At 36.5% G+C, this 13,957-nt stretch overlaps 2 protein-coding genes and 1 long non-coding RNA gene across 4 annotated transcripts in view; 1 reads left to right on the forward strand and 2 right to left on the reverse strand.

Moving 5' to 3' along the window:
- Positions 1-1,984, forward strand: part of LOC124901966 (uncharacterized) — a 39,094-nt gene extending 37,110 nt beyond the window's left edge. For both annotated transcript variants that reach the window (XR_007060977.1, XR_007060976.1), the window contains one exon: positions 453-1,984. This is a non-coding gene — a long non-coding RNA (uncharacterized LOC124901966). The remainder of the gene's footprint in view (positions 1-452) is intronic.
- TPD52-MRPS28 (TPD52-MRPS28 readthrough) overlaps positions 1-13,957 on the reverse strand; it is a 252,848-nt gene that overhangs the window by 10,208 nt on the left and 228,683 nt on the right. The window lies entirely within an intron of this gene.
- The window catches only part of MRPS28 (mitochondrial ribosomal protein S28), a 111,543-nt gene that overhangs the window by 10,208 nt on the left and 87,378 nt on the right, over positions 1-13,957 (reverse strand). The window lies entirely within an intron of this gene.

A 13,957-nucleotide genomic window follows, 5' to 3' on the forward strand; every position in this document is an offset into this window, starting at 1 on the left:
AGTCCCAGCTACTTGAGAAGCTGAGACAGGAGAATCGCTTGAACCCAGGAGGCGGAGATTGCAGTTAGCCGAGATTTTGCTACTGCACTCCAGCCTGAGTAACAAAGCGAGACTCCGTCTCACAAACAAACAAAAAACAAAACAAAACAAAACAAAAAAACACTACAGTTCATACTCTTTATTAAAAACTGAGGGTACTGCAGCCTAGAAAATTCTGTTAAATTAAAAATAAAAATCAACTACATAAGTACAGAAAAGCAAGCACTTTAAAGCCACTTCATGTGAGAAGGTGGTTTTAGATCATCACAAGCTCAATAAGAATCAACAATGTAGTTTTGCTCCCCCAATAAGCTAATGTAATTTTAGGCTGAATTAGAAGTATATATTCTATTCTCTAATGTATAATCTGCATAATAATCTCAATCTCCTTTCACTTTTCTGACCATATCTAGACTACTGTGACCTGCTCCGTGCAACACAATTAGAGGGTCATTGATAATCGGAACCTATCAAGAAGAGGACGCTGAAAGAATACTGTATTATGTTGAATGAGGAATTGAAGGGAAGGAAGGCATTTAGCAGACTGGAAAAAAACAGCAAGAGGACCCTAAACCTGTCTGAATTTGCAAGGGTTTAATATTAAAAAGGTGACGGTACTTATTTTATGTGACTATATATTGTATGCCCCCACCCCCCCAAAAGCAGAAATAAGACAAACGGGTAGAAGCTTTAGGATGGCAGATTCACAGCAGTTTAATACGAGAAAGAACTTCTAACAGAACTGGTTGGAAAGGGAACAGGTTGTTTTTTTGTGTATTAATGGTGGAAATCACAGGGAATTTTCAAAATGGATGACCTTTGTGGTAATGGTGGAGTTTGAATTCAGTAAGGGTTGAATTAGATGACTTTCAAGATCCTTCCATTTCTAAAAGTTATGATTCTGTGACCCAGAAAGCCTAATAGTTCTCCGACACCAGAAAGCATGAAAGCTGGAAACCAGATTAAAAAAAGAGCAGTCAGCCAAACAGTCAGAAGGTAGGTCAGGTGTACAGTAACAAATTTAAGATCTGATTATCTTTCAGTCTACCTATCATCATTTAACTCTGGTAGACCATGAAGTACAACACTCTCAGTGACTTACCACATCCATAGGTGCTCTGACTTATTACAGATAAAGATATCCATTATGCATAATTAGCTTCTTTATCTGACTCAAATCTGAAGCTAAAGATTATTCTGGACATGATTTCCTGGATAGATGGCCAGCTAAGTTGTGTTTCAGATAGGAGGATCACTTAATTAACTAGGCAACACAGGTATTTTAGTATATTAATCACTTCCCTAGGTAGGCAAGTTCTAAATCACCCTTTTCTCCTATATGAGGACACATGGAGCTACTGTTTTCTGTTCCCGTGTTACTCTTTAATCTCTGTCAGTGTTGTACTTTTGAACTTCCACTTTGTAACACTGCACTACACTAAACACTATATGTAGCAAGCATTCTATACGTTTGTAGAAGATTTTAGTAAATATGTACTTTCAAATGCTATATAACACATCTGCAACTTGTTTTGCAAACTGGGGGTCTGAAGTCTTTGGACAAGTCTGCATTCCACCACCTGCCATATGTGCTCCTTAACCTGGCTTCCAATCTCAAAGCTGCATTCACTTATTTTAAATCTTGAGGAGCAGGATAGGTGTTGACAATGTGTTACTTAGAATGTTCCAAGTATTCCCTAATCTCTGGGTCATTCCTGTCAAAACAGGAGTGTGACTACACAGTGACCAGGATGCAAGCTGATGATATTTTTGCTTCTAATCTGAGAAAAGAAATTGCTTTTGTGCAGACTGGTATCTCTAGGGTGACTTTGTTCTAAATGCTAATATCTTATTCTAAATATCATCAATTGTCAAATATCTTTGAAATAAAATTCTGCAAAAAAAGTACACACTTCAGAATTTCTGAATAAAAAATATCAAACCATCTCTTTATGATTTAAATTGTAAATAAGAGCTTTATTGTTTGCTTTTGTTTTTATTTTGATGGAAATAGGATGTTGAGGCAATTTCCTGGAGATTAGACAATGACATTATTTTAAACTTTTTACTATCCAGGAAAAAACATTCAAATAATAAAATTCAAAAAAATAGTGTTAGGCATATTTTGAATAATATAATTATCTCTGAATAATTCTTATGCCTTTAAAGTAAGACAAAACAGGGTAGAATAGTGACTTATTTTTGTCTTCACCATTAAGAAGGAATTAGTAGTTCCTAATAGAAACTCTAACTTTGATAAGCATTCATTTCCCCTATCAAATTCTATTTTATAGAGGTTATCTGCATCTAGTTGTCCTTGCCCATTTGGACTTCCTAAATCAGTGGTTATGACATAGAAAAAGATCTCAAAATCTTGGAGCTTTCTAACTTTCTAAGAAAAGATGAAGAAAAAGCAGAATTCTGCACAGAGAGCATGTATCATACCATATTAATGGGTAAAGAAAGCCTGTTTACTGGTGGGAACTAATTAAAACTAGGATAACAAACGGACAGTGTTTAAGAACACTCCTTGTAGGTGAACAACTCTATGATCATTATGTAACCCTAGGCAAGGTATTCAGCTCCTCAATCATTACCGTAAAAGAGGAATCACCGTAGTTCCTACCTCATAGGATGGCTGGGAAGATTGTAGGAAATAATGCATATAAAAGACTTAGTAAATCCTCAATGAAAGTCCAGTCAGGATAGGCCTTGATTTAACAAAGAAATAATTCAGGTACAGAACTAGCTACTCTCTGTCATAAAGTAGGTCTGGCTGTTAAGGTTTACTGGAGCTGACTAATTGACTAGCAGGAGGACTGTCTATGTTGGGAGTAGACAATAGTTGACAGGGAAATTTTCAAAGATGTTGTGTTCAATGAATTAAGCTTAACTTTGGTGGGTATCAATTAGCTAAAGGCTTCTAATCTACTGGATAAGCAACAGCATCCGGACTTTTGAAAAAGTGTGTCTCTAGGCCGTAGAGGGCCTTTCTGTTGACAGCAGGGCCCAAGTGACTGAGGATATGGGAAAAGAATATGAGTCTTGAGAAAGATGGGCCCTGCAGGAGTACTTGCCCTGGCCCTGGGGCTCCAGCCTACCAGTTTGTTCACTGGTTCATTCATTTACTCAAAAATGTTTTTTAGAGGCCCATCTGTGGAAGATACTGCTCTAGATGCTGCAATAACCAGTAAGTACAGAAGAAAGAAAGGGTTCCAGTACTCTTAGAGCTTACACTCTGCTAGGAAGAGAGAGACAATAAACCAAAAAACAACCAAATCAAATAGGAGTAAGTGTTGTACAGAAAATAAAAATAAAGTGATATGTTAGAGAGGACTAGGGAACAACAGTAGACTGGGTGGTGAAGGAAGGCATCTCTGAAGAGGGGACATTTAATGACAAGAAAAGGAGCCAGCTGTGCAAAGATGGGGGCAGAGCTTTTCAGGCAGCAGCACCGTTGGTTCAAAGGCTCACGGTAGGGTAAAGTCGGTACGTTCAAAACCAAAAGGCCAGTGTGACTGGAAAGTACTGGCAGGACTCGCAGGTCAGACAGGAAGGCAGGAGGCAGGCCATGTAAGGCTTCATACACCAAAGTAAACGGTTTGGGGTTTCTTTTAGGTGCTCTGGAAAGCCTATGGAGGGGAAGTGAATGATCGAATTTCTGTTTTGAAGATCACTCTGGCTGCTCTGTGTAAGAATGAATTCTAAGGGACAAGGATGGAAAGACACTGGGCAGGGAGGGTGAAGTGCTAATCAGGAAACTTATCTGTGGACAAAGGCACTGCAGCAAGAGAGAGGCTGTGCTGGCACGCCACATTCCCGGCAGCCAGATCTAACACCACTGATAAAGCTGTCTGTCTTGGTCAGAATTCACTCAGGACCATGGTAGAGTCAAGCTTTGCTATACTGCCCGCATTCTTCTTGGTTTAACAAACAGTTCATTCAGGAACAAAACCACTCCTTCCTATCAGAATTGATGGAGGTCTGACTGTAAGGTGGTCTGGGTGGGTAAACTGACTTGGCAGGATTGTATTCTTATGAAGGCAGAAAGCAGCTGACAAAGTTTTCAAAGATGTGCAGTGGGATCTGGGGAAGCAAGACCTTTTTTATTTTCTACAACAATGTGTACTCCTACATTTGCTTGTTTATATATGTGTATATTAGTTTGCTTGGGCTGCTATAACAAAATACCACAGATCGGGTGGCTTAAACAACAGAAATTTGTTTTCTCACAGTTATGGAGGCTGAAAGTCCAAGATCAAGGCTCGGGCCAATTCAATTTCTGGTGAAGGCTCTCTTCCCGGCTTGCAGAGGCTGTGACCTCACGTGGCCCTCTCTCACTGCATGCACATGCAGAGTGTTCTTTCACATTTCTTCCTCCTTTTATGAGGCCACCAATCCCACTGGATTAGGGCCTCAACCCTTAGACCTCACTTAACCTTTATTACTTCCTTACAGGTTCAGTCTCCAAATACAGTCACGCTGGAAACTTGGGCTTCAACATATAAATTTTGGGGGGATAAAACTCTGTACATAACAAGGTCTTATTATCATATGAATGCCTATTTGCACACAAATGTTCAATTTATTTGAAATATGTATTAGTCACACATTATGTGCCAAGGAGATGCTCAGGAGATGAAAAAGAAGTCAGTGATCTTAATGAGGTTAGAGTCTAGCAGGAAAGACAACCATGATGAAATGAAATACACTAGTGGTATAGGTAAATGTAAAGAAATTCTATTAGGAAAGAAGTATCAAGGAATTCTTGGGAAAACAGCTGAAATTTATGTTAAATTTTATAGAATAAGCTGGAAGTCACCAGTGAGGCAGACAAGAAAATTCAGACCCACCCCAAAATATAAACTGTGAAAAAGGTGTTCCTTTGACTATCTTAGCCTGAAGATATTTATTCTTTTACTGAGTTTCAAGAATAATTATTGTTTGCACAGTTCATTTGGCCACTAAAGAAGTAATGCTCTCAGATTGGACTCTCACTATTGCCTGAAACTACGACTGAAATCTTTTGTTATCAACACCTTTTAATGATTGTGTTTCTTGTTTACTAACTAGAAACTAGGTTTTTCCATGGTGACTATCTGATGAATCCTTTGACAGAGTATATCAGTAAATGAATGTTGGTTTAATTTGACAAGATTGAAGGAAATAAAAGAGAATGTTTAGCTGTGAGAATTAGGAGCAGTGTAATCTGGTTTCAATTCCTCGTAACCAGGTTATTACTGGTTAATTTTTCTGCGTCTTACTTTGTCAAAAGAGATGGTTGACTAGATGTCTATGGTTCTTACAAAGTCTAAACCTTCATGAACATATTAGTTCAATCTCTAATTCAGCAACCCCATCTAATTAGGGTTGATTTTAAGGTTTCCACCCTTTACTAATTTTTATAGTCTCCTTTCCCTTCCTGTTTGAATTTTATGTAAGCAATTAAAAGGCCATAAAAATTCATTCAATATTATATAACATAAAAGGGAGACAGGAGGGACGAACTAAAAAACATTCAATTTCAATCCTTAAAGTTTACATTTTAACCTTAAAATACAGTTAACATCTAGGCTAACATCCAGTACAACACAGCTAATTGTTCTACTTCAAGTAAACTATATGGAAGACAAGAACAGATAATACTGGCAAGCCAATTAAAGAATACTCACCTTTGCTTTCTGGTGATTAGATTTATATATATGTTAAACATTTCACAACATAGTATTTATATTTAAACAAAAAAGCACTCCAGATTTACACAGACTGCTCAAATGTAAAGCATGTAAATCAGCACTTTCTAGTTTGTAACAAAACTTTATCTTAAATGAACAAGTGGGTTAAGAAACAACCTGATTAAAATATTTCAATAACAATTCTGAAAAACACTAGTTTAGCAATTATTAAAAAAAATGGTTCCATTTGAAAAGTGGTTACAGTTTTAACTTTACAGTCACAAACTCTTTTGTTGAATTACATTAAATAAATTGGTTGTTAAAAACTAGTGCTTGCAAAAGTAATTCTAATGCCCAAGTATGGGACAGGCTCCATGACCACAAAACTATGCCAGCTCTACCTTTTAAATAGACTTTGCCAAAATGAGTGTGTTATTAGCCAGGCTTGGCTGAAACAATCCACTGCCCACAAAGCTACTTTAATGTACTGTCTCTATTGAAAATCACAGTAATCCAACAATACATTACGATACTTTCCCATCACTGCAGCAATTCCCACCACAGGCAACACTTTGTCCCCAACAAAGAAGCCTCACATTCTACGTCTGCAGAAACCCCAATCCTGACTAGTACTGTATGGCTGCCAAGAGGAACATCTGTGTGCTCAACAGTACACAAAACTGGCTCTTTTCTTTTTTTCTTTCTTTTCCTTTCTTTCTTCTTCTTCTTTTTTATTTCCTAGACAATAAACTGTGTGATTGCTTGGTAAGGAAATGGTCTTTCATTCTCTTCCTCTTCCCTTTTATTTGTTTGTTTGTTTAACACAACAGTCAAACAACTACATCTGCCATCCACCATTACTTTAAGGCCAAACCCTGAAAACACAGTAAAGTTTATTTTCAGATTTCATGTAAGCTTAGATCTGTGATTAGCTGAAGAGTGTTGACTTTAAAGATGAAGACTCCTAAAGGCATATTAATAAAAAGGAGCTATCCAATTCTGAGAATAGTCTAGAATGTCATTTATGTTTGTAGAGAGATAAATCCAAACAAAACACTAAAAAATGGTAATATAATTCTTGAGAGTAAAGAAGTTATAAACTAAATGTTCCCTGTAGAATATTTACAATGTAAGCCAGTATTTCTATACAAATATTACATTTTTGTATTTTACACCAAGAAAGACTTTTCTGGTATGTTTGCTTAAAGAAGTAAAAGAAATGGAGGCATAAGAGCCAAATGGACAAAGAGATGACTAGGAATTCACCAGAGAAAAATGACTCATTATAAACATTCAACCTTAATCTGCTCCCTAGACAAAAGAAAAAAAATCCTCTAGTGCACTGATAATCACAAAAATGCAAATTAAATCCACATACTTTTGCTATTAATATTAAATATAATATTAATTATAAAAAAATTAGAGGGGCCAGGTGTGGTGGCTCATGCCTATAATCCAAGCACTTTAGGAGGTCAAGGTGGGAGGATTGCTTGAGGCCAGGAGTTTGAGATCAGCCTGGGCAACACAAAAAATTTAAAAATTAGCCAAGCATCATGGCATGCTCTTGCAGTCCCAGCTACTTGTGAGCTGAGGTGGGAGGATACTTTGAGCCCAGGAGTTCGAGTTCATACAGTGAGCTATGATTGTGCCACTGTACTCCAGCCTGGGTGACAGAGCAAGATCTTGTCTCAAAAAAATAAAAAATAAGATAAAAATAAAAATTAATAAACTAAAAACCTACCCATGTTTGCAAAGAAGTGGGCTAGTTGAGATTTTAAATTAGCACTACCTTTCTAAAAGTGAATGATTTAGTCATATGAATGTTTTATACCAATTTGTCCAGAAATTCAGAAATTCTACTCATTGGATTTTATCCAATACAAGTAAAAAGAGATGGGCATAACAATGTTTACTGTACTTTATTTAAAACAGAAACAATTTATAAACAACGTAAATATCCAACTATAGGGGATTGGTTAAATAAATTATGATGTCTGTACAAGGAATACTACACAACCAAAAGATGTTTAATATGTAACAAAATGTTCACTATATAGTTAATAAACAAAAATGTTAGGTTACAAAATATGACATATGATGGCAACCCTTTTAAAAAATCTGTGCTTGCTTAGAGAAAAGAAAAACATTAATAGTACTATCTCAGGATGGTGTGATAACATATTTCTCTATTTTTTAATAAACAACCTCTTAGTTTTATTTTTTTGTTGTTTTTCTTTTTGAGACAGGAGTCTCACTCTATTGCCCAGGCTGGGGTGCAGTGGTGCTATCCCAGTTAACTGTAACCTCTGCCTCCTGGGTTCAAGCGATTCTCCCACCTCAGCCTCCCAAGTAGCTGGGATTACAGGCACCTGCCACCACGCCCCGCTAATTTTTGTATTTTTAGTAGAGATGGGGTTTCACCATGTTGGCCAGCCTGGTCTCAAACTCCTGACCTCAAGTGGTCCTCCTGCCTTGGCCTCCCAAAAAGGGCTGAGATTACAGGCATGAGCCACCTCACCTGGCCACAAGCTCTTAGTTTTATAATGAGAAAAAACTCTGCATTATTGCCTCTTAGAACAGACAGGAATTTATTATCATTGAGGAAGTAAAGCATAACTCATTTCTTCTCAAAAGTTACATTAATATTTTCCTAGGTTTTCAAAACTTGTTCCCTTGAAAATCACGTAAAATTTTACCAAAAAACTGTAATAAGAAACAAATACGAAGACGTGGTCAGTACAATAATTTGAGCGACTGGGGGCAGAAAAATCTTAGATTTATCACTTTAAGTTGTAGTAGGCAACCACAAAATTACAGCTCAAAAAGTTTCATGAAGATATAGCTATAGCTTAGTGATACTGATTTTCAACGCCTGAAAAAACACATCATATGAAATACACCTCTAATTTTCAGAAGGTTGAAACAATATAAACAACAAATAACTAAAATTTGTGTAATTGTGTGTGCAGTTATCAGTAGAAGTGGAATAAACACAAAATAATGAAGTTTTTATTTTTTAAATCAAAGACAATGCAGACGTTCTTTTTACCTTTCATAGTTTGATACTACCTTACACCACCAAACTGGATTAGTAAGGAAATCACTTTCTGGTTTTATTTTTAAAGAATGAAAAGGTATTCTCTGATACTTTACTTTGTATATGTTTGTAAAGCAGCTGTTAAATAAATGAGAGACACAGGGCTGTACTCTATTAAGTGACACCAGCTCACTACATGGTATTTAAGAAGGTTCACTGAAAAAGCAATAAAAAGTGTCCTGGTTTGTGATCTGGATTTCTCTTCACTGTACACAATGAGAGTTCATGTTGTATTTTTAAAGAAGTATTTTCCTAGAACCTGATTAATTCATCTTTTTTGGGGGGAGGTGTGTGTGCTCGCTGGTCTACAACCATTGTTCATAAATAAAACTTAAGGCAGAAGAGTAAACTCAGTATGTGAAGACCTGTCAACAAATAAGGCAACTTCTGAAGGATGCACAGATTCCTTCTGATTCAATTGCTGAATAAACATACTTCGGGGAAGTGCTCACCTATCAAGTGAAATCCGAGTGCTACATTAAAAAGACATAGGTGGGGGGGGGCATGCTCCTCCTATTTGCCACACATCGTGATTTGCACTTTACATGTTATTTCATTTCTTCTCACACAAACAACTTTAGAAGAAGCATTACTATCACCATTTTCCAAGTGAAAAACTTTCCCAAAGCCATAAAGCTAGTAAACAGTAGAGGTAGGATTCCACCCTGTTCTCTCTGATTGTGGGCTGTGCTTTTTTTTTTTTTTCAAACCATGCTATTGAATCAAGAAAAGTAGAAAAACTGAATGTTAAAATTAAGGTTTTAAAGCTCATTCTTTTTGGTAAAAAAATAAAATTGAGATACCTTATGGTTGAAGTTTTGGTAGGGAATGCCACCAGATTAAAAAACAACAACAACAACAAAAAAGAACCTTACTGTTGCCAGTATTTTCCCTCCCCTCAAAGACACTGGCAAAGTGCATCTGTTTAGACAAGGTTAGAGCCAAACCAAATGTTCCACAGAAGAGCATCTGTACATAACGGAAAATTCTGTTGCAAGTCTGTCAAAAAGCTACCTTAGACTGTCAAATATACAGACCAAATTGCTTTCTAGAGAAGTTGGACTATAGGTTCAGTTTTATAAATGAGTTCTCTGTTGAGGGAGCCCCAATTTGATCAAACAAATAAATGAAAAAGAAACACAAAATTTTTACACACATTTACAAATATTTATTAAGTAAAATCAAACATTTAACATAAAATCTACAGATGGGGGATTCCTTGGATGTGCTGAGCTGGCTATGGAAGTGAGAGGAAGGTGACAGCTTTGCTTCTAGTTTCTATCAATATGCACTAGCAATCAGTTTCAGAGATACCTACTGAAAGATCAGGGCCGAGGTTCTCTCCAAACTCCTTAAGACTGGGTTTAGTTACCTCACCCAACTTTCACTAATGATTTTCATCCTTCCCTTCAGAATGATTTTGCTCACATTGAAAAAACATCTCTAGTGGTCACATCACATTCTTACTCATTTGAAAGCAGGACCAACACTCCTTTGACAAAGTCATTGCTTGCCAAGGAGCACACGGATTCCTTAAGTCTCATCATGATGCAGTAATGCAATCAAACATTTTCTAAGTCATCAATCAGCCCATTATTTAATCCTTTTCTGGCATAGTAGTTTTAAAGCAGAAAATACACCTAGTTAGTGTTGCCTATAATATACATACTTCCTTGCCTTGTTAAGGTCATTTTAAAAGTTACTGCACAAGCCATATTGTGATTAAAAAAAAATCGGCCTGGTCTCAATCATCCATTAAGAAAAATCTACTATTAAATATTCCAATACAGAAATTTCTTTTAAAGAGCGTAATTTTTAGTTTTCTGGTCTCTTTCTACAATGTACTTGCCTCCCTAGTACCTGCCTCAATTTCCGACATGGTTTTTAGAAGAAAACCACTTCTAATCTCCTCTTAGCTGAGAAGCCAAATAATCTTATTAAGAAATATATGTTGGCCGGGCACGGTGGCTCACACCTGTAATCCCAGCACTTTGGGAGGCCGAGGCAGGCGGATCACGAGGTCAGGAGATCGAGACCATCCTAGCTAACATGGTGAAACCCCGTCTCTACTAAAAATACAAAAAATTAGCCGGGCATGGTGGCGGGCGCCTGTAGTCCCAGCTACTCGGGAGGCTGAGGCAGGAGAATGGCGTGAACCCGGGAGGCGGAGCTTGCAGTGAGCGGAGATCACGCCACTGCACTCCAGCCTGGACAAGCGACAGAGCAAGACTCCGTCTCAAATAAAAAAAAAAAAAAGAAATATATATCAATAAGGGCTGATGAAGCTCTTTATGAGGGCTAGAAGCAATGTTTCTTCATTTTTCACATTTGAAGTACCTGGGGGATATGTTGAAAGCTGATTTCTGGGCCTCATCCCCAGATATTCTGATTACTTATATTAGGGGTAAGATTAATGAATTGCATATTGAGCAAAAATCTCTGGTAAAAAAGATATTAGGTTTTAAAACAGGTTTCATGGCCACTGCTTTCAGAACTCCATATTATTTTCAGGTTCTCTGCCCTGTTCTGGAGAGCTGTTATTATAGGATTCTTATCCTAGATAAATGAGGCATTATTGTACATATCATCTGGTACTTTGGTTTAAAATCATTAAACATTTTTCATAATGCATTTGCGAGTGAAGTGAACTCCTTTACTGTTCCAGGAAATGAAGTATGGTGAGGGCTGGTAGGAAATGATTTTTAAAAGTTTCTCTTACCAAATTTGTTTCTGACATTAGTCTTACAGGCTGGAGTATAAATTCCAAATCTGGAAAGAACAAATGATTAAGAAGTTCTGCCTTTATTGCACAGCAAAAGAAACTATACAGCAGAATCTTTCTTTTTTCACCATCTGCAAAGGTGGCTTGTAGCTTTCCCACAGTATCCGGTTGCTGTCTAGGTATACACACAACCTAGGTGATAACTCACTTAGATTTAAACTACTTTTTTCAAAGCCAACTTTTCCAAACAATGCATCATCTACATTTTAAATGCTGGGTGAAATTCTACCACCACTCCAGAAAAAAGGGACAAGGAGGTGTATTGTACTAGACAAAAGAAATGGAGAAAAGTATTGACAGAACAAGCAGTCTACAGTACCCCTGGGGTAGAAAGCACTGTTAAAAGAGTTTTCTCACACATGAAAAAGCAATGAAGCACGCAACATTGATTTTTATTTCATTATTTTTTGGACGTAGGTATTAAAATACCTAAAAGGAAGCCATCATTTAAAAATAATTAAAATTCCTTTTTCTCACCAATAGACAAACTAGTGATATAAGCCTATGCTTAAATATAAAAGCACTTGGGAGCCCCAGGCAGAAGGATCACTTGAGGCCAGGAGTTTGAAACCAGCCTGGGCAACACAGCAAGACCATGTCTCTATACAAAATTAAAAATAAATACATAAATAAAAATTAAAATTTTAAATCAGATTAGTGAGACTCCAGTCTCAACTCTAGGAAAGATCTGTCTTTAAGAAAAGGTGAGACATATAATCATTTGAAAGGATATATGAAAATCCTCAAATCTTCTAGACCTTCCTTGATTCCAAATGTGGTATTACAACATCTTGATCCATTCATTGCTCAGTCTCCTGCTACTCTTCCAGATCACCAACTGAAGAAAGTGCTCCAAATGGCAAAAAGATGTAACTATTATTCTCGATACTCTCTGTATATAACATTTTGTGTTGTACAATCTTAAAGCCAGACAGAGTTTCAGCTCATTTCCCCTACTTAAATAATTATTGATAAGAAAGATATCTGCAGAACAAAACAAAGTATAGTATAAAAATTATATTCTCAGAGGTCTCTGAGAAGTCACATAGTCTAATTTCCTGTCCCTAGTCCTTCTCAATCAACATGCTGCTTATAATGAAATAGAGTTCTTTCAAGATTTTATGTTCAATTATTTTTTAGTCAAATTAGCTAGCATGAACTAATGAGCTGGAAATGAATTTGAGAAGTTCGGTTTTAAATGCTGAAAAGTTTAATTCACTCTCAAAGACAAATCAGTTGTAATGAAAGAGAAAACTGTTTCAATAATTTATTTAGATCTAAAGAGAAGGTAGGTATGTATATTTTCCACTGCAGTATCCATCATAAGAATTTGTGACAAATATTGTAAATTAGGGAGAAAAGGATTAAGATGAAAAAATGGTTTTTTATGTTCATGCTCATACTACTGATTACTGTGACCAGTTGCTGTGAAAGGTAAAGCATAGTATGTGCATTTAACTTAACTTAATGTAGTCAGATGGTAAGGGAATTTGTTGATGAGGTTAGGGAAGCTAAATAAGATAAGGTACTTGGAGATCTGAGACTCAACTTACATCCCCTAGTGGCATGCAAAGTCTCTTACTGAGGGGACAAGACAACTGAACACAATAAACTTAAAACTGCAGGGTAAAAAAAGAACACTTCTGACTTGCTCAAGCAGGTTCACTGCAATATTTTAGTCCAAGAGGAAAGTGGAATAATAGATGGCAACCAGGACTGCACTGACTCTCCATTGCTGATCCAGGCTGCATTCAAGGGAGTGATACACTTGGAAGCAGCACAGTACTTTGGGGTGAAAATAAAGTCACAATTTCAAGAGATTCAAAAATTGCCATTAGCATAAAACAGTGCTTTATATCTACCTCAAGATGGCTGTTTCAAGAACTATGTTCAAAATGAAGGCATGATGACATCTTTGGGATTTTGAAGATGAGTCTCAAAATCTCAGAATTTTATCCCCAAATTTCTGACTAAATGACCCAACTTCAGGCAATATTTGTATCCATGTGATTCCATAAAACTAGCTTATTTCATGACATTTCTATAAATAAAGCTGAGAAGTCCAATTCTAGAAGTCTGGAGTCAGAGTTGTTATGGGTCAGTGTGAATTTACCCAACAGTTCTTATGAATACCAGTGTTTTCATTGACTTGATCACAGCTGATCTCTGGGAAATGGTAGACTACTATTTGTGCACTTTTATCATTTAAAGTTAACTAAACTGGTCTTGAGATTGCTTTTTAAATACTAAATAAAAATTAAATATTTTAAAATTCTCTAACAGGCTATTACAGCTACAGCTAAGATAAGAAAAAAATACATGTTGTCTACAGATAAAAGAAATTTTGAATATGTGGCCCCAAGA

Source organism: Homo sapiens, chromosome 8 (assembly GCF_000001405.40).
Source record: "Homo sapiens chromosome 8, GRCh38.p14 Primary Assembly".
Taxonomy (NCBI): domain Eukaryota; kingdom Metazoa; phylum Chordata; class Mammalia; order Primates; family Hominidae; genus Homo; species Homo sapiens.